Here is a 23,412-nt window from a genome sequence, read left to right on the forward strand (position 1 = left end):
TCAAGTAGAAAAATCACAATTTGTCAACAATTGCAGTTATAATTGATTGAGGCAGAAATTCTCAATGGTTAATAAAATCATCCAGTAAAATTCGTTGAGGAACAGGATAATTACATAATGTCAACATTTTCCCTATATTATTGCTTATTAATTACAAAAGGAAATAAGCTACCTTTACAGTGGAGAAATATGACAGAAAGGTGACCAAAGTTAACATTACCACTAATGGGATGTAGTAGACACTGTGAGATGCCACCTAAGTCCTGTTTCAGGACTAAAAGATGTATTCTCACAGTGAAGGTCTTTTAGTCAGACAGCCTGCAGCTGTGAGTTCTCCTTGGAATTGCCTTGATTGAAGAGGTCATTTCACTCGAGAGCATACCCTCTTTCCATTGTGGCCCCCATCCAACAATTGGATGAAATAGGTGCCTAAAGGCCTAGAACACTTAACTCAATGCTAGATAAGTCTAAAGGGCCATTGTAGTCTTATTCCTTCCTGGGGGATCAGCGGAGGCTTTTTTTGAGACTACAACACAGCCCACCTTCTCTGTACAAAATCCATTTTCCTTTCTGCCTTTTCCCAGCTGGTAATCTCAAGAGCAGTTCTTGATAAATCCTTCATACTAGCCTTTCTATCAGAGCCTGCTTCTTGGCAAATTAACATGTCATGACAATCAAACTGATGTCACATGCCTCTGGGTATGCTACTCTCAGAAAGACACCATCAATTTTGTAATATTCCTGGCAAAAATGCAAAAACTGAATCTAACTATTAGAAAGCATTTGGACAGTCCCAAAGTTAGGTATCCTACAAACAACTCTTCTGCATTCTTTGAAATATTTGTTTTATTTTGCTTATCTATATTTTCTATTTTTCCTATGCTGATCATTAATTATGAAGCCCACAAAATAGAGGAAATGCTATTTCTATTAATAGCCTAAATAGGTGAAGTGAAGATAGGTAAGTTACATGCTGATGGCAAATAGCATATATATCTTGCATACTGCAAGATTCTCTGCTTTAAGGGACAGGTTTTATAGAAAATAATTGTTTAGGTAGTTTGCATGAGTGGTAGATTTTAAAGTATTAATTGAGCAACTAAATAAGTAAACTCAAAATTTTATCCAAGAAACTTCATAATTTAAAGAAAGTAATAATTTTTCCTTCCTTAAGAATAGAGAGGGAAACAGTATTTTTATTTTCTGAATGGTAAGAAAGCAGAATGGCAGGAGCAGAATGAATGATGGAATGGAAAAGTAAGCTAAGTAGAAAGTCATATTGGAATGAGGACTTGAAGAAATGAATAATAAATGAGGAAATGAGAAAACAGAAATGTTTTCCTTTCTGTAATATATTGTAGCTCAAATATGATGAATTTGAAACTATCCAGAAACCGCCTTGATTATGGAGCAAAGACAAGTTTGACGTTGGCCTCCAAGAAATATAATTGTATTCATGTTCCTAGTCAGCATGTGAAAACATATCCTTCCCTTTATTGTAACTAGAATATACTACATGGAAAGGGGACCAGGTGTTCTAATCAGATATTTGGATTTGCTCTGTGTGTGTGTGTGTGTGTGTGTGTGTGTGTGTGTGTGAGAGAGAGAGAGACAGAGAGACAGAGAGAGAGAGAGAGAGAGAGAGAGAGAGAGAGAGAGAAATCCTTAGTTAACCAGGTGACTAAAACTCCAGAACTGCCGGAAAAGAAAACCTCCTTAACAATTTGTAACATAGATATTCTTCCTAAAGCATAATCTGAGCAAATAAATCAGTAGCAGGTGGAGACTGAGACCCTTACACAAGAAAGTGACATAGTGACAGAGGTTCATGTTGGATAAAAACAATATAGAACAATAGAGAATGATCAGGAGAATTTGAACAAAATATGGAAATGAAAAATCAAGAAAAGACAAGAACAGAGGCCATTCTTTTTTTCAGGTCTATATTTTCATCAGGTGTATGTACTGAGGCAACTGGTAGTTTGTATCAAAATTCCACCGAATATGATTTATAATACGTTGTATAAAAGAACTTCCCTTGAATCATTTCAGATGAACAAATGCTCTATGTTCCATTTCTGACACCTAATGGTGATGCCCACAGACTGTTGATCAATAGCAGCAAATACAATATTTTCTGGTAAGTTGGGCTCTTCTACTCCCATCAGTTGAGCTCCAAGCTTATCAAGATTCCTTGTGTTTATCAAATGTGTTTATAAAAGTCAAGCTTCAAAAAGAATTACTTTAGGGCCCTGGTGTGGTGGCTCATGCCTCTAATCCCAGCACTTTGGGAGGCCGAGGTAGGCGATCACAAGGTCAGGAGTTCGAGACCAGTGAAACCAACATGGTGAAACCCATCTCTACTAAAAATACAAAAATTAGCCAGGTGTGGTGGCACGCACCTGTAATCCCAGCTACTCGGGAGGCTGAGGCAGGAGAATCGCTTGAAACCAGAAGGCGGAGGTTGCAGTGAGCTGAGATCACACCACTGCACTCTAGCCTGGGCGAAAGAGTGAAACTCTGTCTCAAAAAAAAAGAATGACTTTATTTGATGAAATGTAAGTGTGAATAATGAGTTGTAGTTGTTATGAATATCAGTGGAATGTGTTGAGAAGACTAATAAAATTGAATTGAGCTGCCAAAAATAAATTTGGGCAAGATAACTATAGAAATGGCAAGAAATCATTAATAAAATGACTCTGCATTCAAATTACATTGCGAGTGTCTTTAAGTTTTCATTTCACATTAACATGAACAGAAATTGGAAAGTGTAAGACATTCATTATTGCTGTGGTTTTATACAAGATGAATAATCTGAGGCTTCCAACAGTGGGCTAATTCCCAGAAAAGGCTTTCACCTAACATAAATGATTAGCAAATGAAGTTATGTTATTATATTTTAAGTTGTAATAAATTGATGTATCTTATCATTTAAAAATAATTACTTCCTCCTTAATAGAATGTTTCTATTACATAATCAACTGTCAGATTACATTGATAGAGGGGCTGCATCTCTAAGGTAACCATAGTTATAATTCCTGTTCACAATGTAGTCTCAATTTTTTAAACAAATGTTTTCATTGTTACTATGAATTTAAAAATTAAGAATTATTTAAAATTATTTCAAATGTTGATAAAATATATTTGGACTTTATGGAACCTATTGACAAGAATAGTTAAACATCTGTACCTGGACAGGAGAACCTGTTGAAGAGTACCTATTAGAATAGTTGGTCTCAGCTTATTTCTAGGTCTTATTGAGCTATAAATAAATACTTGACCCAATGGCAACCATATACTCTTTTATTTATTTATTTGTTTAGTTATTATTATTATTACACTTTAAGTTTTAGGGTACGTGTGCACAACGTGCAGGTTTGTTACATATGTATACATGTGCCATGTTGGTGTGCTGCACCCATTAACTTGTCACTTAGCATTAGGCATACTTCCTAATGCTATCCCTCCCCCCTCTCCCCACCCCACAACAGTCCCCGGTGTGTGATGTTCCCCTTCCTGTGTCCATGTGTTCTCATTGTTCAATTCCCACCTATGAGTGAGAACATGCGGTGTTTGGTTTTTTGTCCTTGCAATAGTTTACTGAGAATGATAGTTTCCAGCTTCATCATGTCCCTACGAAGGACATGAACTCATCATTTTTTATAGCTGCATAGTATTCCATGGTGTATATGTGCCACATTTTCTTAATCCAGTCTATCATTGTTGGACATTTGGGTTGCATGGGCAAGGACTTCATGTCTAAAACACCAAAAGCAATGGCAACAAAAGACAAAATTGACAAATGGGATCTAATTAAACTAAAGAGCTTCTGCACAGCAAAAGAAACCACCGTCAGAGTGAACAGGCAACCTACAGAATGGGAGAAAATTTTTGCAACCTACTCATCTGACAAAGGGCTAATATCCAGAATCTACAATGAACTCAAACAAATTTACAAGAAAAAAACAACCCCATCAAAAAGTGGGTGAAGGATATGAACAGACACTTCTCAAAAGAAGACATTTATGCAGCCAAAAAACACATGAGAAAATGCTCATCATCACTGGCCATCAGAGAAATGCAAATCAAAACCACAATGAGATACCATCTCACACCAGTTAGAATGGCAATCATTCAAAAGTCAGGAAACAACAGGTGCTGGAGAGGATGTGGAGAAATAGTCCCACTGTTGGTGGGACTGTAAACTAGTTCAACCATTGTGGAAGTCAGTGTGGCGATTCCTCAGGGATCTAGAACTAGAAATACCATTTGACCCAGCCATCCCATTACTGTGTATATACCCAAGGGACTATAAATCATGCTGCTATAAAGACACATGCACACGTATGTTTATTGTGGCACTATTCACAATAGCAAAGACTTGGCAACCATATGCTCTTAACAAAGGGGAGAGAAGCAGCCTATGAGCTGTCCTGAGAATTCCATTCAATAGCAGTGCTCCATAATGTGTGGGTTACATATTCCCCACATGCTAGCCACTAGGGATTACTTTTAATTTCATATCTTTAGAAAATTCTGAAGTCTACGTCAAACATATAATTAAAATCCAGATACCCTCTCAATATTTCTAAGTGTTTTTGTTATGTTACTCTTGTCCCTACTAATAGCAATTTAATGATCCCTGCTCAATTCTTGAGCTTGTCTCCTTGTCTTGCTTCCTATAGTTGTTGTCAGGGTGTTTGCTTGTCCGTCAGTGCCTTTGTGCAAATTAGAGTGAAGCTGAGCAGGGAGCATAGCTGGTTGCTCAGAATTCAGGCTGGATTTCAGCTCTCATTAATTATCTTACCTGGGCACTTTTGTTCAGCAGAGCAAACTGCACCACTATAGGCGGCAATCATTTTTCCACAATACCCCCTTTATGTATTCCTACAAGCAATACTGAAACAATTTTTTTTTCTTTTCAACTTTTATTTTAGGTTCAGGGGGTACACGAGCAGGTTTGCTACATGGGTAAATTCTGCCACTGGGGTTTGGTGTACAAATGATTTTGTCATACAGGTAATGAGCATAGTACCTGGTTGTAAGCATAGTACCTGGTAGTGGTTTTCAGCCCCTTACCCTCTTCCCATCCCCCTCATCAAGTAGGCCCTAGTGTCTATTGTTCTCATCTTCCTGTCTATGTGTACTCAATGTTTAGCTTCCACTGGTCAGTGAGAACATGTGGTATTTAGTTTTCTGTTTTTTCGTTAATTAGCTTAGGATAATGTCCTCCAGCTGCATCCATGTTGCTACAAAGGACATGGTTTTGTTTTTTTTATAGCTGCATAGTATTCCATAGTGTAAATGTACAACATTGTTTTTACTAAGTCCACTGTTGATGGATATCTAGGTTGATTCCATGTCTTTACTATTGTGTATAGTGCTGCAATAAACATATGCGTGCATGTGTAGAATTATTTCTGGTAGAATGATTTATATTCCTTTGGTTATATACCCAGTAATGGGATTGCTGTGTCAAATGGTTAGTTATGTTTTAAGTTCTTTGAGAACTCATCAAACTGCATTCCACAGTGGCTGAAATAATTTAAATTCCCACCAGCATAAGCATTCCCTTTTCTTTGCAACCTTGCCAACATCTGTTATTTTTTTACTTTTTAGTAATAGCCATTCTGACTGGTATGAGATGGTATCTCAGTGTGGTTTTGATTTGCATTTATCCGATGATTAGTAGTGTTGAGCATTTTTCATAAGCTTATTGGTCACATGATGTCTTCTTCTGAGAAGTGTCTGTTCATATCCTTTCCCCATTTTTAAATGGGGTTGCTTTTCACTTGTTGATTTAAGTTCCTGATAAATCCTGGATATTAGACCCTTGTTGCATGCGTAGTTTGTGAGTAATTTTTTCCATTCTGTAGGTTGTCTGTTTACTCTGCTGATAGTTTCATCTGCTGTGCAGAAGTTCTTTTGTTTAATTAGATCCCACTTGTCTATTTTTGTTTTTGTTGCAATTGCTTTTGGAGAGTTCATCATGATATTATTGCCAAGGCTGATGTTGAGAATGGTATTTCCTAGCTTCTCTTCTAGGATTTTTGTAGTTTTAGGTCTTGCATTAAAATTTTGGATCCATCTTGAATTGAGTTTTGTATACGATGAAGTGAAGTGGTCCAGTTTTAATCTTCTGCATATGGCTAGCCAGTTATTGCAAAACCATTTATTTAATAAAGAGTCCTTTCCCCATTGATTATTATTGTCAGCTTTGTCAAACATCAAATGATGGAAGGTGTGCAGCTTTATTTCTGGGTTCTCTAACCTGTTCCTTTGATCTATGTGTCTTTTTTTTTGGTACCAGTACCATGCTGTTTTGTTTACTGTAGCCTTGTAATATTGTTTGAAGTTGGGTAGTGTAATGCCTCTGGCTTTGTTTTTTTGTTTGCTGGGTTTTTTTTTTTTTTTTTTGCTTAGGATTGCTGTGGCTATTCAGAATCTTTTTGGATTCCATATGAATTTTAGAACAGTTTTTTTCTAACTCTGTAAAAAATGACATTAGTAGTTGGATAGGCATAGGATTGAATCTGTAAATTGCTTTGAGCAGTATAGCCATTTTAACAATATAGATTGTTTCTATCCATGAGCATGGAATGTTTTTCCATTTGTTTGTGTTGTCTGTGATTTCTTTCAGCAGTGTTTTGTAAATTCTCATAGTAGAGATCTTTCACTTCTTGGGTTAACTGTATTCCTAAGTGTTTTATTCTTTTTTGGCTATTGTGAACGGGGTTGTGTTCTTGATTTGGCTCTCAGCTTGTATATTATTAGTGTATAGAAATGCTCATAATTTTTGTATTTAGTACATTGATTTTCTATCCTGAAACTTTATAAAAGTTTTTTATAAGTTCTGGGAGCCTTTGGGCACAGACTATGGGGTTCTCTAGGTATAGAATCATATCATATATGAAGAAAGATAGTTTGACTTCTTCTTTTCCTATTTGGATGCCTTTTATTTCTTTATCTTGCCTGGCTTTTTTGTAGGGGGTAGTAATTCCAGTACTATTTTGAATAGGAGTAGTGAGAGTGGGAATCCTTGTCTTGTTCCAGTTCTCAAGAATAATGCTTCTAGCTTTTGTCCATTCAGTGTGATGTTGGCTGTGTGTTTGTCATAGATAACTCTTATTATTTTGAGGTGTGTTCTTCAATGCCTAGTTTGTCGAGGGTTTTTAACAAGAGTGAATGTTGAGTTTGATCAAAAGCCTTTTCTGTGTCTATCGAGATGTTTAGTTCTGTTTATACAATAAATCACATTTATTAATTTGTGTATGTTCAACTCAACCAAACTTGCATCCTAGGAAATAAGCCTACTTGATCATTGTGGATTAGCTTTTTGATGTGCTGCTGAATTCAGTTTGGCAATATTTTGTTGAAGATCTTTGTGTCTATGTTCATTAAGAACATAGATACAGGTTCCCTGTTTTTTGTTGAGGTTTTCTTTTTTTATTGTTTCTCTGCCAGGTTTTGGTACTAGAATGATGCTGGCCTCATAGCATGAGTTAGGGAGGAGTTCCTCCTCCTCAACTGTTTGTGATAATTTCAGTAGGATTGTTTCTTCTTTGTACAACTGGTATAGTTCAACTGTGAATCCATGGGGTCTGGGGCTTTTCCTAGTTGGTAGTTTTTCTTTTTTTTTTTAAACTGATAACAATTTCATAACCATTATTAGTCAGTTCAGGATTTAAATTTCTTCCTAGTTCAATCTTAAGAGGTGTATATTTCCAGGAAGTTATGTGTTTTCTCTAGGTTTTCTAGTTTGTGTGCTTAGAAGTGTTTATAATAATCTCTAGGGCTTCATATTAGTCTCTAGGGCTTTTTGTAGTTCTATTGGATCAGTGGTAATGTCACCTTTGTCATTTCCAATTATGTTTATTTGGATTTTTTTCTTTTGTTCTTTATTAATCACACTAATGGTGTGTCAATCTTGTTTATTATTTAGAAAAACCAATGTTTGGTTTTGTTGATGTTTTATATGGATTTTCATGTCTTAATTTTGTTCAATTCGGCTCTGATTTTGATTATTTTTCTTCTGCTGGCTTTGCAGTTGGTTCGTTCTTGTTTTTCTAGTTCTTTTAGGGATGATGTTATGTTGTTAATTTGAGATGTTTCTAATTTCTTGGTGTAGGCATTTAGCATTATAAAGTTCACTCTCAACATTGCTTTAGGTGCGTCCCAGAGGTTTTGGTATGTTGTATCTTTTTCTTCACTAGTTTCAATAAACTTTTTGATTTCTGCTTTGATTTCATTCTTTACCCAAAAGTCATTCAGGAATAGATTGCTTAATTTTTATGCAATTGTATGGTTTTGGGAGTTTTACTTGACATTGATTACTATGTTTATTATGCTGTGCTTTGAGAATGAAGTTGGTATGATTTTGGTGTTTAGATTTGTTGAGAATTGCTTTATAACCAAGCATGTGGTCAATCTCAGAGTATGTGCCATGTGCAGAAGGAGAATGTACATTCTGTTTTTTGTTGGATGAAGTATTCTGCAGATTTTTGTTAGGTCCATTTGGTCAAGTGTCAAGGTTAGGTCCTGAATATCATGTGTTAGATTTCTGCCTTGATGAGCTGTCAAATAATGTCATTGGGGTGTTAAAGTCTCAAACCATTATTGTGTGGTTATCTAAGTCTCTTCATAGGTCTCTAAGAAATTGTTTTATAAATCTGGGTGCTCCAATGTTGGGTGCATATATATTTAGGATAGTTAAGTTTTTTTGTTGAGTTGAACCCTTTATCATTATGTAATACCCTTCTTTGTACTTTTTTATTGTTGTGGATTAAAACTCATTTTCTCTGATATGGAAATACCCACCCCTGCTTTTTATTCTGTTTGCTTGATAGATCTTTCTCCATTCCTTCACTTTGAGCCTATGGGTGTCATGCATATGAGATGGGTCTGTTGAAGACAGTATACAGTTAGATCTTGATTTTTTATCCAACTTTCCACTCTGTGTCTTTTAATTAGGGTGTTTATCCCATTAACATTTAAGGTCCATACTGATATGTAAGAATTTGATTCTGTCATTCTGTTATTAGCTGGTTGTTATGTAGACTTGATTGTATAGTTGCTTTATAGTGTCAATGGGCTTATGTACTTAAATGTGCTTTTATGTGGTGGCAGGCATCAGCTTTTTGTTCCCATATATAGTACTCCCTTAAGGATTTATTGTAAGGCAGGTCTCATGGTAATAAATTCCCTTAGCATTTGATTGTCTGAAAAGGATTTTAGTTCTCCTTTGCTTATGAAGCTTAGTTTGGTTGGATATGAAATCCTTGGTTGGAATTTCTTTTCTAGGATACTGAACATAGGCCCCAAATCTCTTCTGGATTGTAAATTTTCTACTGAAAGATCCACTGTTAGCCTGATGGGTTCCCTATGAACATGACCTGCCTCTTCTGTTTAGCTGTCTTTAATATTTTCTTTTGCATTGACCTTGGAGAAGCTGATGACTATGTGTCTTGGATTTGGTCATTTTGTACAGTATCTCACAGGGGTTCTCTGAATTTCCTGAATTTGTATGTCAAAGATTGGGAAAATTTACGTGGACAATATTCTCAAATATGTTTTCCATATTTGCTTCTCCATATTTATTGAATATTGAGAAATAGTTGAGAAGTATTTCTCAATACTTATCCAATTATTTCCATATTTCTTTGCTCTTTTTCATCTTTGTCAGTAATGACAGTGAGCTACAAGTTTGGTATCTTTACGTAATCCCTCATTTCTCAGAGGTTTTGTTCCATTTTTAAGTTCTTTCTTCTTTATTTTTATCTCCCTGCATTGATTTAAATGAGTGGTCTTTGGGCTCTGAGACTCTTTTGTAAGCTTGATGAATTCTGTCATTAATGCTTCCAATTGCATTATGAAATTCCTGTAGTAAATTTTTCATTTTCAGAAGTTCCTTTTAGTTCTTTCTTAAAATGGCTATGTTATCTTTCAACTCTTAGATCATCTTACTGGTTTCCTTTGATTGGGTTTCAACCTTATCCTAAATCTCGTTGAGCTTCCTTGCCAGCAGGATTCTGAATTCTATGTCTGTTATTTCAGCCATTTCAATCTAGTTAAGAACAGTTTCTAGTGAGCAAGTGTAGTCATTTGGAGGTAAGAAGACACTCTGGCTTTTAGTGTTGTGAGAATTCTTATGATGGTTTTTCTCATCTGTGTGGGCTGATTTACCTTTAATCATTGAAGTTGCTGTCCTTTGGATGGAATGTTTTGCTTTTATATTTTTTGGTCCCCTCGACAGTTTAACTGTGGTATAAGTTGGGTTTAGTCATTTGGATTCATTTCTGGATGCTATCAGGGCACCAGTGGTTAGCTCAGTACTCCTGGGCTGCATGCTCTAACCCTCGGGGGCTGGGATCAGGCCTGCAATTTTGATCTCTGGCCCCTTGTGGTCAAACACCTGTTGTGCTGAAAAAGCTGATATATTCCTAGGCTGCTGGCAATGCCGCTTCATCAGGGACTGCCAGCAAAAGCACTCAGGTGGGGTGGGGATGGGGGGCTGCTAGTGAGTGTACAGTGGCAAGGCCTGAAACAGATTTTTTAGAAGTATAACTGTTATTTAAAAGTTCAGTGATAATGGAAGATAATTATAATAATAAAGAATGGAAATGAAGATTTTCTTGCAGTTCCTTAGGTCCCTGCCTTCACCATGATGTTGTCTATCATTTGGTGGCCCCACTTTGATCACAAAATGTAATGCAAGTATTTCTTATAAATTTTATCTTCCTAATTACAAGTGCATAGTGACTATTTGAGTCAATCAGAGTTTTTTAAAAATAGTTTTTGAGAATGTGAATCCCATAAAGAGATACAGACAGATAAATAAGAATCAAAAGTCAAGAGACACTAGACAGAAGCCATGAAGCACTAACAACAGACACACGGAGAAGCTCAGCTGTGACAACAGAGATGTATCAGTATTTTTACTGTGCTCTAGAGTTTCTGTAGCATCCAGAATGCTGCTGTCTGAGGTCTGATGTACCACTGTTGAGGCCATTTGCTAAGACCTGTTACCTCCTCAGGTGCACTTAATAATTAAACCCCACCCCATCAGTTGAAGAAACCAGACAGGGCATGATTTTGTTCAAGCAAGTAAAAAGAGCCTAACAAAACTACGGATTTCACTCATCTTTCAAATTCCTCAGTATTTGACAGATAGCCTAAAATTGATGTGAACTCATAATCTTTACTCCTTTACAAAAATAAAGCTAAGCATTTTCACTCTTCGCTAAGCCCTACTTTGTTCTCCCAAAGCAAACACTTGTACAAAACAAGAGTCTCTGTGTAGAAAAGGATGATGATTGAGGCACTGAATTCACCTTTCTGTTGCATGTGGTAATAGAGCAATTCCTTATTGACTTATATAGCCAACTTTCTGCAAGTAGACTGTAGCTTAATTATGTATAAATGCCCAGTGTGTTCTTTCCAGATTATAAGAACTTCTAGACCTTTCCTCCTCCAACTCTTTGGCAGCCAACCTACAAGTTTAACAGGATAATTGACTCTCCTGAGGGATAGATGCAGGACAAATATATGTGATGGAATGATTCAGTTATCTTAACAGGGCCTCTCTTGAAACAAATTATTTATTTTCTGATCTACAAGAGAAAAATGATAAAGGAAAAAATACTAAACCAAACAGAAATAGCTTCTCCCAAAACCTGGAAAAATTAGACTACACATTTATTATTCTTGGAAACACTTCTGCTCTGTATGTCTCATAGAGATGTTTCTCTTGATTTTTTGCAGCCCTCATACTGTTATACTGGCATTTAGTTTATCTGAGATTGCCTCATTGTAGCCATTTGGAGATTATGCTGTGAGGGAAAAAATTTCAGAATGAACAGTAAAGCATTTATAGGGCAATTGGGGCCATTTTCAACCATAGTGTTGGATTTTGAAAAGCCTTTCATTCTGCTGATGTGAAAATAAAGAGGATAGAGCCAGGTGGAACTGTAAGGTTTCTTTGTTTTTCTTGTTTTCATTCAATAATTTTAAAGAAGGACCAAAAAATTGCCTAGAATCGTGGAGTAACAGCCCTACTGAATCCTCATACTTGCTTTTGCTGAGAAGTTCCTTAGGTCTAATTTTGCCAGCAAATTGGATTGTACTGCTTTTTTATAAACTGACGACCACCGGTAGTTTTTCTTAGGCAAAAATTTGTGTATTGAGACACTTAAGAACACTTAAGATCTTATGAGCTTAAAATTAAATGAAATAATTTGGTCATAGTTAGTAAAGATCAATAAATCATTTAGTTGCCAGACTTACTTCAAGTTAGTTATGGGGAGATAGCTGTTCGGAATTTGGAAGAATTCATTGATATGGTTTAGTGTTTTCCATACTTGCTGTACAACCCACTTCCTGGCAATGTTTCATTTTGCCTTTTATTTCTGAATCAGAAAATATCATTTTAAAGATGAAGTAATCTTGGGACTGGCTTAAAGCTAAAAACATACTACATTGGAGAAAATGGGACTAAGACTCTTTAGAGAGATTTATTTCATACCATTAAATAGTGTCTTTAGAGCACCCGTGAGTATTGCACCAGATGGGAAGATATTACCTTCTTACAGTCCTATGAACGATGCTCATATAGGTAAAACTAATGGGAAGGCATATTCAAACAAAAGCAAACCTTACGGCGTATATATTTTTTTAAAAATAAAAGACTGTATTACTAGAGCTAAATAGGCCTTTTCTTCTATGCCCATAAGAGTGAAATTCCAAGGCCTAATAGAACAATCCTAAGAACAGCAGAGTAAAGACCTTAGGACATCCACATTGAAAAGAACATATTACATGAATCCTCCAAAAGTAATCTAAATATTCTGAAGGAAAATTCATGAATTATGGCATAACCTTTATCTCTATCTGGGACCCTTGAAAGGTCTTAGACCCTGAGACACTGATGCTATGTTTTTGTTGTTGTTGTTTATTTGTTTGTTTGTTTATTTGAGATGGAGTCTCGCTCTGTCGCCCAGGCTGGAGTGCAGTGGCGTCATCTTGGCTCACTGCAAGCTCTGCCTCCTGAGTTCATGCCATTCTCCTGCCTCAGCCTCCTGGGTAGCTGAGACTACAGGCGCCTGCCACCACATCCGGCTAATTTTTTTGTATTTTTAGTAGAGATGGGGTTTCACCGTGTTAGCCAGGATGGTCTCGATCTCCTGACCTCGTGATCTGCTGTCTCGGCCTCCCAAAGTGCTGGGATTGCAGGCGTGAGCCACCGAGCCCGGCTGGCACTGATGCTATGTTTAAGACCAGCACCCAGAGTCTAATATATCCTTCCATAACCAGTAGGCCTGATGCTCCTTGACAACTGACTTGTTGATATAACAGAATTTATGGTGTTTGCCTGGTGATTGCAAGGCACAGGAGAGGAGGGATCTGTTTTGAGTGAATGTTCTGAGCTGTCTAAAGCTTATTCTCTCTGTGTTTCTCTATTCTCCACAGCAAAAATTCTCATTGCCTTCAGAAGTTCTCATGAGGCTAAGAGTTATTGGCCAACATTGGAAGTGAGGGAAGACTTACAATCTTTATTAATTACTGTTCATTTTCGTGAGACTCTAAAATGTCAAAAAAAAATTCAAAACAAGGGTTAATATTTTTTGTTTTGAGGATAATTCAGGGAAATATATAAATATTTATAATCTCAATTTAAAAGCTTCACAATGGAAACAGGCTTTCGAGTTTCAAGAAGGAGAAGGAGAGTACTGAGAACAGGGATGATTTTTAAACTTAGATTCCTACTTTATTAACAGAAGAATACCAATAAGAACATCAGCATGCTTTTAAAATAATTAAAATGTTGATATCTAGGGTATACTAGAGAAATAACAACATGGGAATGGTTTCTACTCTTCCATTTGTCAAATTCTCGTAACACTTTAAAGTAAATGTGGCATATTTACACATATTATTTTATTCTGGAAACCTCATAATTTAGGAACTTTTATTGTACTGAATTTACAGTTGGGGAAATTAAAGCTCGGAGAGTTCAAGTGACTTGCCCAATATTATATAACAGTTAAGCTAAGGCTTTTCTTTTGTACTGGCTTCTATGCAATGGATTTGCAGATGTGATTGCAAAGCAGGATTCTCCCCACATGAAGCTTTCTCCCAACTTGGGCCTCCTCTTGTGGTATAATGGCTAGGATACAAAAATGCATGTGTGCATATAAAATGAGATAATAACAATCTTGTTAATGCAAGAAAGATGGAAGCACTAACTGCCTGAAGCAAACAGGGAAGGCTCTAAAAAAGTAGGAATTTCTCAGCTGGAGCAGTGGGAGGCTGCAGTTCTAAGCAGAGAAATCGCCACATGCAAAAGATAGTGACAAATGAAAGTAAATTAGGTACTCTTGGATGGAGCGGTTTGCCAGAGGTGGAACAATGGGCCTGAGGGGGTGAGGAAAAAGAGGTAGGAGTATCAGAAGTTACCAAGAGATACATCTGGAAAGGTGAGTAGAAACGGACTGGAAAGTGGGAATAAAGAAATAATGTAAACTTAATTCTTGGAATTGGTGCCCAAGCTTAGAATCTGTGCTTTAATTTGACCTGTGGGTTCTGTAAAAACTAATTATATTTAATAGAAGCCCCTTCACTTTTGATGTTGCCTTTAAGTTCCAGCTTCAGAGAGAAATATTATGTTTTATCTAAGCCTTTTAACTAAAAGATGAGTTTGTCAGTCTCAAAGAATTACATGCTTATTTTATTGGAAGATTTTTATGCTTTATTTTACATGACATCAGGAAATATCTGTGGAAATACTCACTTCCAGTTGATCAGAAATGAGAGAAACAAAATAAATAAAATTCAGTTGAAAGAAATACTTATGAAAATGTGCATTTTGGAGTGCTCTTTGTAATCCTGTTAAGTGAATGTCATGTCAGGCAAGCTTCTGCAGCCTTCATTCATCTGGCAGATATCTGAATGGCAGCCAGCAGGCTGCAGCCACATTACCCGTGTCTCACTGTCTTTCCTTCCAGATGTTGTCTCTTACCCCTGGTTTTACAGAAACAAGGAGTGTCAGGAAAAAATTGAAAAAGAAAAAAAATTCAAACAACTTGCTTGTCTTCACAAAATTAACTCTGCTGCCTTGCTACTGTCAGGCAAATCTCTTGATCCTCTTTATACCTCTACAGTCTTCAGCTCTTTCCTTTTTCTTACACCAAATCATCATATAACCGAGTCTCAGGTACATGAGGATTATTTAAACTTTCATTTATTGGGCTCTCAGAATTCACAGTGTCATAGAAACTAGAATCAATAAGTACTATGCAAATGTGTAAGATGTAATTCTTTTCTATAATAATAAACATCTGGCTGGTGAGAGGTGAGAAGAGCCTTGTTGTAAGTGAAATTGAGACTGGACTACTCATGAGAAGAGCATAAAAGGGATTAATAAATCCTAAAATTCCAATGAGAAAGCACAGACCTCATTTGGCTTATGTAGAGAGGTCCCAAATCCCATGCTGGAGGTGTATATAATGATAGGTTATTAAATTGCTGGGCTAGCTCCATCCTCCCTTTCTATAGGGACTGAGGCCATCAATTACTATGCAGAAAATGTGCATCCATTGTGACATGAGATGATCAGCAGGGAGGCAATGCAGCAGGCACTTTCTCTTTAGTGAAATATATTCAGAGAAAACATGTTCCTGGAGCTCTGTTCAGCAAGCAGATTAAGAATTTAATACAATTTTCTAAGTGAGAAGTCCTCAGATGCTGTCTCATTGCCCTTCTGTCTTTCTGGTTTAAATTAAACAGGATGTGTATCTTGTTAGTGAAGGAAAACTGAAAATGGTCTGCAAGATGAATTGGAGAATACAAAAATCCAGCAAAAGCAATAGCAATACAATTGTTCGAGCACATGCCTGCGGACAGTTCACGGCTTAGCTGACACTCAAATTGTCTTTTGAAAGTTGATAAACTTCAGATCACATGTCAAGAAGATAATTTGCAGTATTAAAAAAATAGATAGCCCTTCCTGACTCTTAAAAGTGTGGTTTAGTGCTTTCCAAATTTTTTCACATTGTGAATTGTACCTCTTTTCTTGCCGCCTCCACTTTCTGGCATGGCAGGCAGATTTCAGATCTCTCCTCACTGGAAATGCCAGATCATAGCGCTATGGCAACCAGCACTGTCGCGAGATCCTTCCAAGGATGCCACCCCCACAAATTCTTCTAACCCATGACTATTTCTCATAATTTCCTGCTCCTCCAAAGGGCAGGGCAGATGGCCAGGCCCCAGAGCACACAATGCTGACAGTTGTTCCAGCTCTAAGGCTGTCAGAAGGGCCCACTCTAGATGTCCACAGACATTTTGGATTCAGATCCTATCACTCTTAAATATGGAAGTTTGCAAACTTGTGCTTTTTTTTTTTAGTCAGTCATCTCTATATTTTCCATAAGTGATATTAATAAATTTCCAAAATAATGTATTACAACCATTGATATTTAAATATAAATTCTATTTCCTCACTTCAAATCCTTAGGATACAACGTTCTTCAGGTTAATTGATTTCAATCTCTGTCTTCTTTTACACACACACACACACACACACACACACACTATATATATATATATATATATATTAAAATGCTCTCAGGAAAGCAAAAGAGGAAATTTTCCATCAAACACATGTAAGGCTTCAAGGAAACCTTGAAGTTGGAATTTTGATGTTATCTCTGCATTGTTTCCATTTAGGAACTTCAGTGATTTAATTTAATTAATTTATTTATTTTTGAGATGGAGTCTCACACTGTTGCATGGGCTGGAGTGCAGTGGCGCAATCTCAGCTGACTGCAACCTCCGCCTCCCAGGTTCAAGTGATTCTCCTGCCTCAGCCTCCCGAGTAGCTGGGATTACAGGCATGTGCCACCATACCCGGCTATTTTTTTTGTATTTTCAGTAGAGATGGGGTTTCACTATGTTGTCCAGGCTGGTCTTGAACTCCTGACCTTGTGATCCGCCCACCTTGGCCTCCCAAAGTGCTGGGATTGCAGGTGTGAGCCACAGCGCCCAGCCCAGTGATTTTATTTTTATGGATAAAAATGTAATTGATTTGTTGGCTTGTTTTAATTTGGAATCTTTCTTAGGAGATTTAGTAGGTACAACATTTGCATTTATTTATTTCTTCATGTATTGGATAAATATTTATTGAATTTATGTGTCAGGCACTTTGTAGGCACTGAAGGTACATCCATAAACAGTATTTACAATGACTTCTTCTCTCATTTACTCACAATCTGGAGGAAAGCTGTAGAAAGTCTAAAAGCTTGATTATTTTTAGTGGCCAGGAGAACTGGGTTCTAGTGTTGCTACTTATATCAATCATTATGTGGTTTCGACCTAGACATAGACTTCCGTAGACTACTTTTCTTGTTTGGAAAATAAAAAAGAAAGGCTGGTTGTAAGTTTTTGTGTTTTGTTTTTCACCAGCATAGCAATAATGAAAATGGTAGCTCTAGCCTCTTTAGCCTCAAAAAGAACATGGAATATGTGAACCTAGTAATTTTGTCTATGGTAATTTATTCACTCCTGCATTTAATAAGTGTGCAGCGCATGTCTTCTTTGTGAGTAGAGACTGTGCTTAGTGAGTCAGGAATAAACAGATAGAGGAGACAGGTTTCACTTCTCATGATCTACTGGGGAGGCCTTCATTAAAGTAACTAGTGGAACTCCAGTGGAATAAATGCTGTGATTACTAGCAGTCTGAAGAAGGTACAGTGGGGGACAGGCCAGAGTATAATTGATTCTGCCCTTGGGATTTAGGTAAGGCTGGCAATGGGGGAGACATTTGACCTGGGTCTCTAGGGAATGGAAAGGTGGAACTGGTGAGAACGAGAAGAGAAAATGATGAGTGCATGTATGGAGATGTGACATGGCACTGTGTGTGGTAAAAGGCAAAGAAAGTAAAAAGTACTTTTAAGATAAGACTTAGGGGTCAGTCTTCAAGATGAGTGAGAGGAGATAAGAAAGGAGAACAAATACAGACTAGATAGTGAAGAACCTTAAATGCTTCACTAGGAAATTTTAACTTTATTAAGACAATAAGCTTGAACTGAATGTTTTTCTGGGTCCAGGTCAATGGCATTAATTTGTCTTGTTTTCAATGTTAGCTACTATGTAGAATACTTAAGAGTATCCTTGGCACAAGACAGGGATGCCCTCTCTCACCACTCCTATTCAACATAGTGTTGGAAGTTCTGGCCAGGGCAATCAGGCAGGAGAAGGAAATAAAGGGTATTCAATTAGGAAAAGAGGAAGTCAAATTGTCCCTGTTTGCAGATGACATGATTGTATATCTAGAAAACCCCATTGTCTCAGCCCAAAATCTCCTTAAGCTGATAAGCAACTTTAGCAAAGTCTCAGGATACAAAATCAATGTACAAAAATCACAAGCATTCTTATACACCAACAACAGACAAACAGAGAGCCAAATCATGAGTGAACTCCCATTCACAATTGCTTCAAAGAGAATAAAATACCTAGGAATCCAACTTACAAGGGATGTGAAGGACCTCTTCAAGCAGAACTACAAACCACTGCTCAATGAAATAAAAGAGGATACAAACAAATGGAAGAACATTCCATGCTCATGGGTAGGAAGAATCAATATCGTGAAAATGGCCATACTGCCCAAGGTAATTTACAGATTCGATGCCATCCCCATCAAGCTACCAATGACTTTCTTCACAGAATTGGAAAAAACTACTTTAAAGTTCATATGGAACCAAAAAAGAGCCCGCACCGCCAAGTCAATCCTAAGCCAAAAGAACAAAGCTGGAGGCATCACACTACCTGACTTCAAACTATACTACAAGGCTACAGTAACCAAAACAGCATGGTACTGGTACCAAAACAGAGATATAGATCAATGGAACAGAACAGAGCCCTCAGAAATAACGCCACATATCTACAACTATCTGATCTTTGACAAACCTGAGAAAAACAAGCAATGGGGAAAGGATTCCCTATTTAATAAATGGTGCTGGGAAAACTGGCTAGCCATATGTAGAAAGCTGAAACTGGATCCCTTCCTTACACCTTATACAAAAATCAATTCAAGATGGATTAAAGACTTAAACGTTAGACCTAAAACCATAAAAACCCTAGAAGAAAACCTACGCATTACCATTCAGGACATAGGCATGGGCAAGGACTTCATGTCTAAAACACCAAAAGCAATGGCAACAAAAGACAAAATTGACAAATGGGATCTAATTAAACTCAAGAGCTTCTGCACAGCAAAAGAAACTACCATCAGAGTGAACAGGCAACCTACAAAATGGGAGAAAATTTTTGCAACCTACTCATCTGACAAAGGGCTAATATCCAGAATCTACAATGAACTCAAACAAATTTACAAGAAAAAAACAAACAACCCCATCAAAAAGTGGGCAAAGGACATGAACAGACACTTCTCAAAAGAAGACATTTATGCAGCCAAAAAACACATGAAAAAATGCTCATCATCACCGGCCATCAGAGAAATGCAAATCAAAACCACAATGAGATACCATCTCACACCAGTTAGAATGGCAATCATTAAAAAGTCTGGAAACAACAGGTGCTGGAGAGGATGTGGAGAAATAGGAACACTTTTACACTGTTGGTGGGACTGTAAACTAGTTCAACCATTGTGGAAGTCAGTGTGGCGATTCCTCAGGGATCTAGAACTAGAAATACCATTTGACCCAGCCATCCTATTACTGGGTATATACCCAAAGGACTATAAATCATGCTGCTATAAAGACACATGCACACGTATGTTTATTGCGGCACTATTCACAATAGCAAAGACTTGGAACCAAGCCAAATGTCCAACAATGATAGACTGGATTAAGAAAATGTGGCACACATACACCATGGAATACTATGCAGCCATAGAAAATGATGAGTTCACCTCCTTTGTAGGGACATGGATGAAATTGGAAATCATCATTCTCAGTAAACTATCGCAAGAACAAAAAACCAAACACCGCATATTCTCATTCATAGGTGGGAATTGAACAATGAGATCACATGGACTCAGGAAGGGGAATATCACACTCTGGGGACTGTGGTGGGGTGTGGGGAGGGGGGAGGGATAGCATTGGGAGATATACCTAATGCTAGATGACCAGTTAGTGGGTGCAGCGCACCAGCATGGCACATGTATACATATGTAACTAACCTGCACTATGTGCACATGTACCCTAAAACTTAAAGTATAATAAAAAAAAAAAAACCAACACAGTATGTTAATATTGCAGTATAAACATTGCATGCATGAATAAGTAGGTCTAAATTCAAGAAGTGCAATGATCCCCATGCTCCAAATTCATTAAAATATGACTTCTGTAGGCAGGAAAATGCAACCTTCTTATATAATTTTTACATCTGTTACAGGTATCCAGAGTATGCAATATTATCTGCAAATTTATAGAGGGAAAGTCTGTGGAAATTTACAGTTCATATTTAAGTATTCATTGAACATGCTAAAAGTAATTATATTTTGTTTCTTAATAGCTTTATTGAGTTCTAATTGTAATATAATAAAACACATGTTTAAAATCTACAATTTGATAAATTTTGATGTACATATACACCTGTGATATTGACATTACACTCAAGATATTGAACCTATTTATCACTCCAGAAAGTTTCCTCATGTCTCTTTTGTAATCCCTACCTTTGATTCCCTACCCATGTCTCCCTTCAGGTAACCACTGATTTACTTTCTGTTATTAGAGATTAGTTTGAATATTTCACAATTTTAAATAATAAAAAATATACTATTTTGAAAAAAAAATAAAAGAGTATCCTAAATAGGCTGTACCTTTTGTTCATCTGGGAATTGGGAACCTTCCAGAGAGAAGACAGTATGGACTTTTCTTTTACTCTTTATTTTTATGTGTTCCAGATTCTCTAGGGTTTTAGCATTGGGAAGAGGAGTTTGATAAAATGGGTGCAGAAGTTTCTTCCTAAGCTGATGTTCTTATAATTTTCCCCACTCTGTAACCTTTGGTGAGACTGACATTAGATCTCTGGTTCTCTTGTGGACCCACTTGTGTTCTTCAGATCCCCTATATCAGGCAACTGATGATCCACATGTACCACCTGTGCAGTCTTCTAGCTTGGGTGACATGCTCTCTTGGTGGTACATTTCGTGAAGGTCCTACAGTATCCCACTGCTGGCAAGCTTCACTTAGAAGACTTCCTTCTTGAGTCTGGCATGGCAGTTCAAATTAGTCTGGCATGGAGGTTCATGCCTGTAATCCCAGTGCTTTGGGAGGCTGAGGTGGAAGAATCACTTGAGGCTGGGAACTTGTGACCATCCTGGGCAACATAGTGAGACCCTGTCTATAAAAAAGTTATTTATTTATTTATTTATTAGCTGGGCATGGTGGCATGCACCTGAAGTCTCAGCTACTCAGGGGGCTAAGGCAGGGAATTGCTTGAGCCCAGGAGTTCCAGGCTACGGTGAACTATACTTACACCACTGCACTTCAGCCTGGGTGACAGAGTGAAACTGTCTCAAAAAAGACTCAAATTTGTTGTTTTCTGTGGTATCCACTTTATCTTCAGGAAATGTGTGCATCTTTGCCACACCAGGAGAACTTGTCCCTACTGCCCTTTCTTCCCGTCCTAAAAATTTGGAGTGATCCAGACATTCTCCTGTAGCCAGAATTATTCATGAAATAAATGTTTTCTTGGTTTGGTTTTTTTTTTTTTTTTTGAGTCAGAGTTTCACTCAGTCGCCCAGGCTGAAGGGCAGTGGCATGATCTTGGCTCACTGCAACCTCCACCTCCTGGATTCAAGCAATTCTTCTGCCTCAGCCTGCCAAGTATCTGGGACTACAGCTGTGCACCACCACACCTGGTTAATTTTTATATGTTTTGTAAAAACGGGGTTTTACCATGTTGGCCAGGCTGGTCTGGAACTCCTGACCTCAGGTGATCCACCTGCCTCGGCCTCCCAAAATAAATGTATTCTTGCCTCTTGGTTCTAATATATCCCCAGACTCTGGAGGAAACATGACTCTTTCTCCTATGCTAGTTGGATTGAGCCTAGTGATTGTCACAGTTGAGGAAGTGTCCACCAGGGGACTGAGACACCTATTTATTCATATGGGTGCCTCTAAAATCCATAGTGTTTTTTCTTGGTGTCACTCCTTTCATTTGTGGGTAAAAGAGTTAAAAAGCAACCAGTGCACGGAAACTTGAGAGAACAAGACATGGCACTTCTTTAAAAAAAAATGTTAATTTTTGTTTTAGAGATGGAGCTTTGCTTGGTCACCCAAGCCAGAGTTCAGTGGTGTGATCTGTGCAGCCTCAAGAAATCCTCCTGCCTCAGCCTCCCAAGTAGCCGGGACTACAGGTGTGCATCACCATACCTGGCTAACATGACACTTCTTTTAAATAATCCCCTGGATGAAAGTGAAAGTGGAGAACAAGTCTGGCCACTTCATAGCAATCTGTTGAAGAGATGGGGTTAGTATCTGGTGGTTTCTTGTGGTCTCCCTTTAGAACGTAGAAACATCTTTTATTGCTTTCAGTTTTGAAACTTTGGCTGAAATGTGAGAAACAAGGAAAATGCCCCATTCTGAATTCTGTGACAAATGCTTTTTGTATTTTCTTAGTGTATTTTTTTCTTCCTTAATGGTTTATAATGTTCACTTTGACAATTCTAGCCCCTCTTGCTGGGATAATGGGAACTAATGAAAAGCTAGATTTATAAAGTAGAGCCACATCCCATTGAGAGCCAACAGTGATAGAGGCAATAGTAATCAAAGTAGAAACTCTGAAAGGATAAGGCCACTCAGGGGTATTAGATGGAGATACGCCTGCATCCACTTTTCCCTATTTAGTGTTGTACCAAGAGCTTTTCTGTTGAAGAGTTGGACTGTTTTATCAAAAGGGGTCCTGACTTGGAAAACACTCCCTTATAATGCCAATCAAGTCATTTCCATGCTATATATCTTCCTTTTTGTTATGATATATATTCTAATCATCACAGTTGTATAGAATCAAAGTACTGAAACCTTATTTATTATATTATTTCCTAAGTTAATGACTTCTAATAATGACTTGTTACATTCTGGTTTAATCAAGCAATAAGACAACAGTTCAACCACCTGCTGGTCCTTTGTTGGTGATAAAGGGATGACCAGCAACCATGTTGTCTTCACCAATTGATAATTCCACTTTGGACAGTTTTGTTTGTGAAGCATTGTGATGCTGTTATATTTATTGAGCCACTGATGAGAATCTCTCTCACTATCTGGTTTCTGAGTGTTTGCGTAGTAGAACAACATATATATGGTGTTGTGATAGGGGCAGCAGCAGGAGACAATGAGGAAGACAAAGAGAAGGGCTGAGAGAGTAAATCTCATTAAGGTTAATAATTCAAGT

At 37.4% G+C, this 23,412-nt stretch overlaps 1 long non-coding RNA gene across 1 annotated transcript in view, besides 1 other annotated feature; it reads left to right on the forward strand.

Annotated features, from left to right (window-relative positions):
• LINC01340 (long intergenic non-protein coding RNA 1340) overlaps positions 1-23,412 on the forward strand; it is a 166,356-nt gene that overhangs the window by 108,583 nt on the left and 34,361 nt on the right. The gene's annotated exons all lie outside the window — the stretch shown is intronic.
• Positions 22,372-22,441: an enhancer, noted in NCBI's record as "active region_22834". NCBI's record gives its function as "activates an Ori minimal core promoter by ATAC-STARR-seq in GM12878 lymphoblastoid cells {active_cell/tissue: GM12878}" and the evidence as "EXISTENCE:reporter gene assay evidence [ECO:0000049][PMID:35858748]".

Source organism: Homo sapiens, chromosome 5 (genome assembly GCF_000001405.40).
Source record: "Homo sapiens chromosome 5, GRCh38.p14 Primary Assembly".
Classification (NCBI taxonomy): Eukaryota; Metazoa; Chordata; class Mammalia; order Primates; family Hominidae; genus Homo; species Homo sapiens.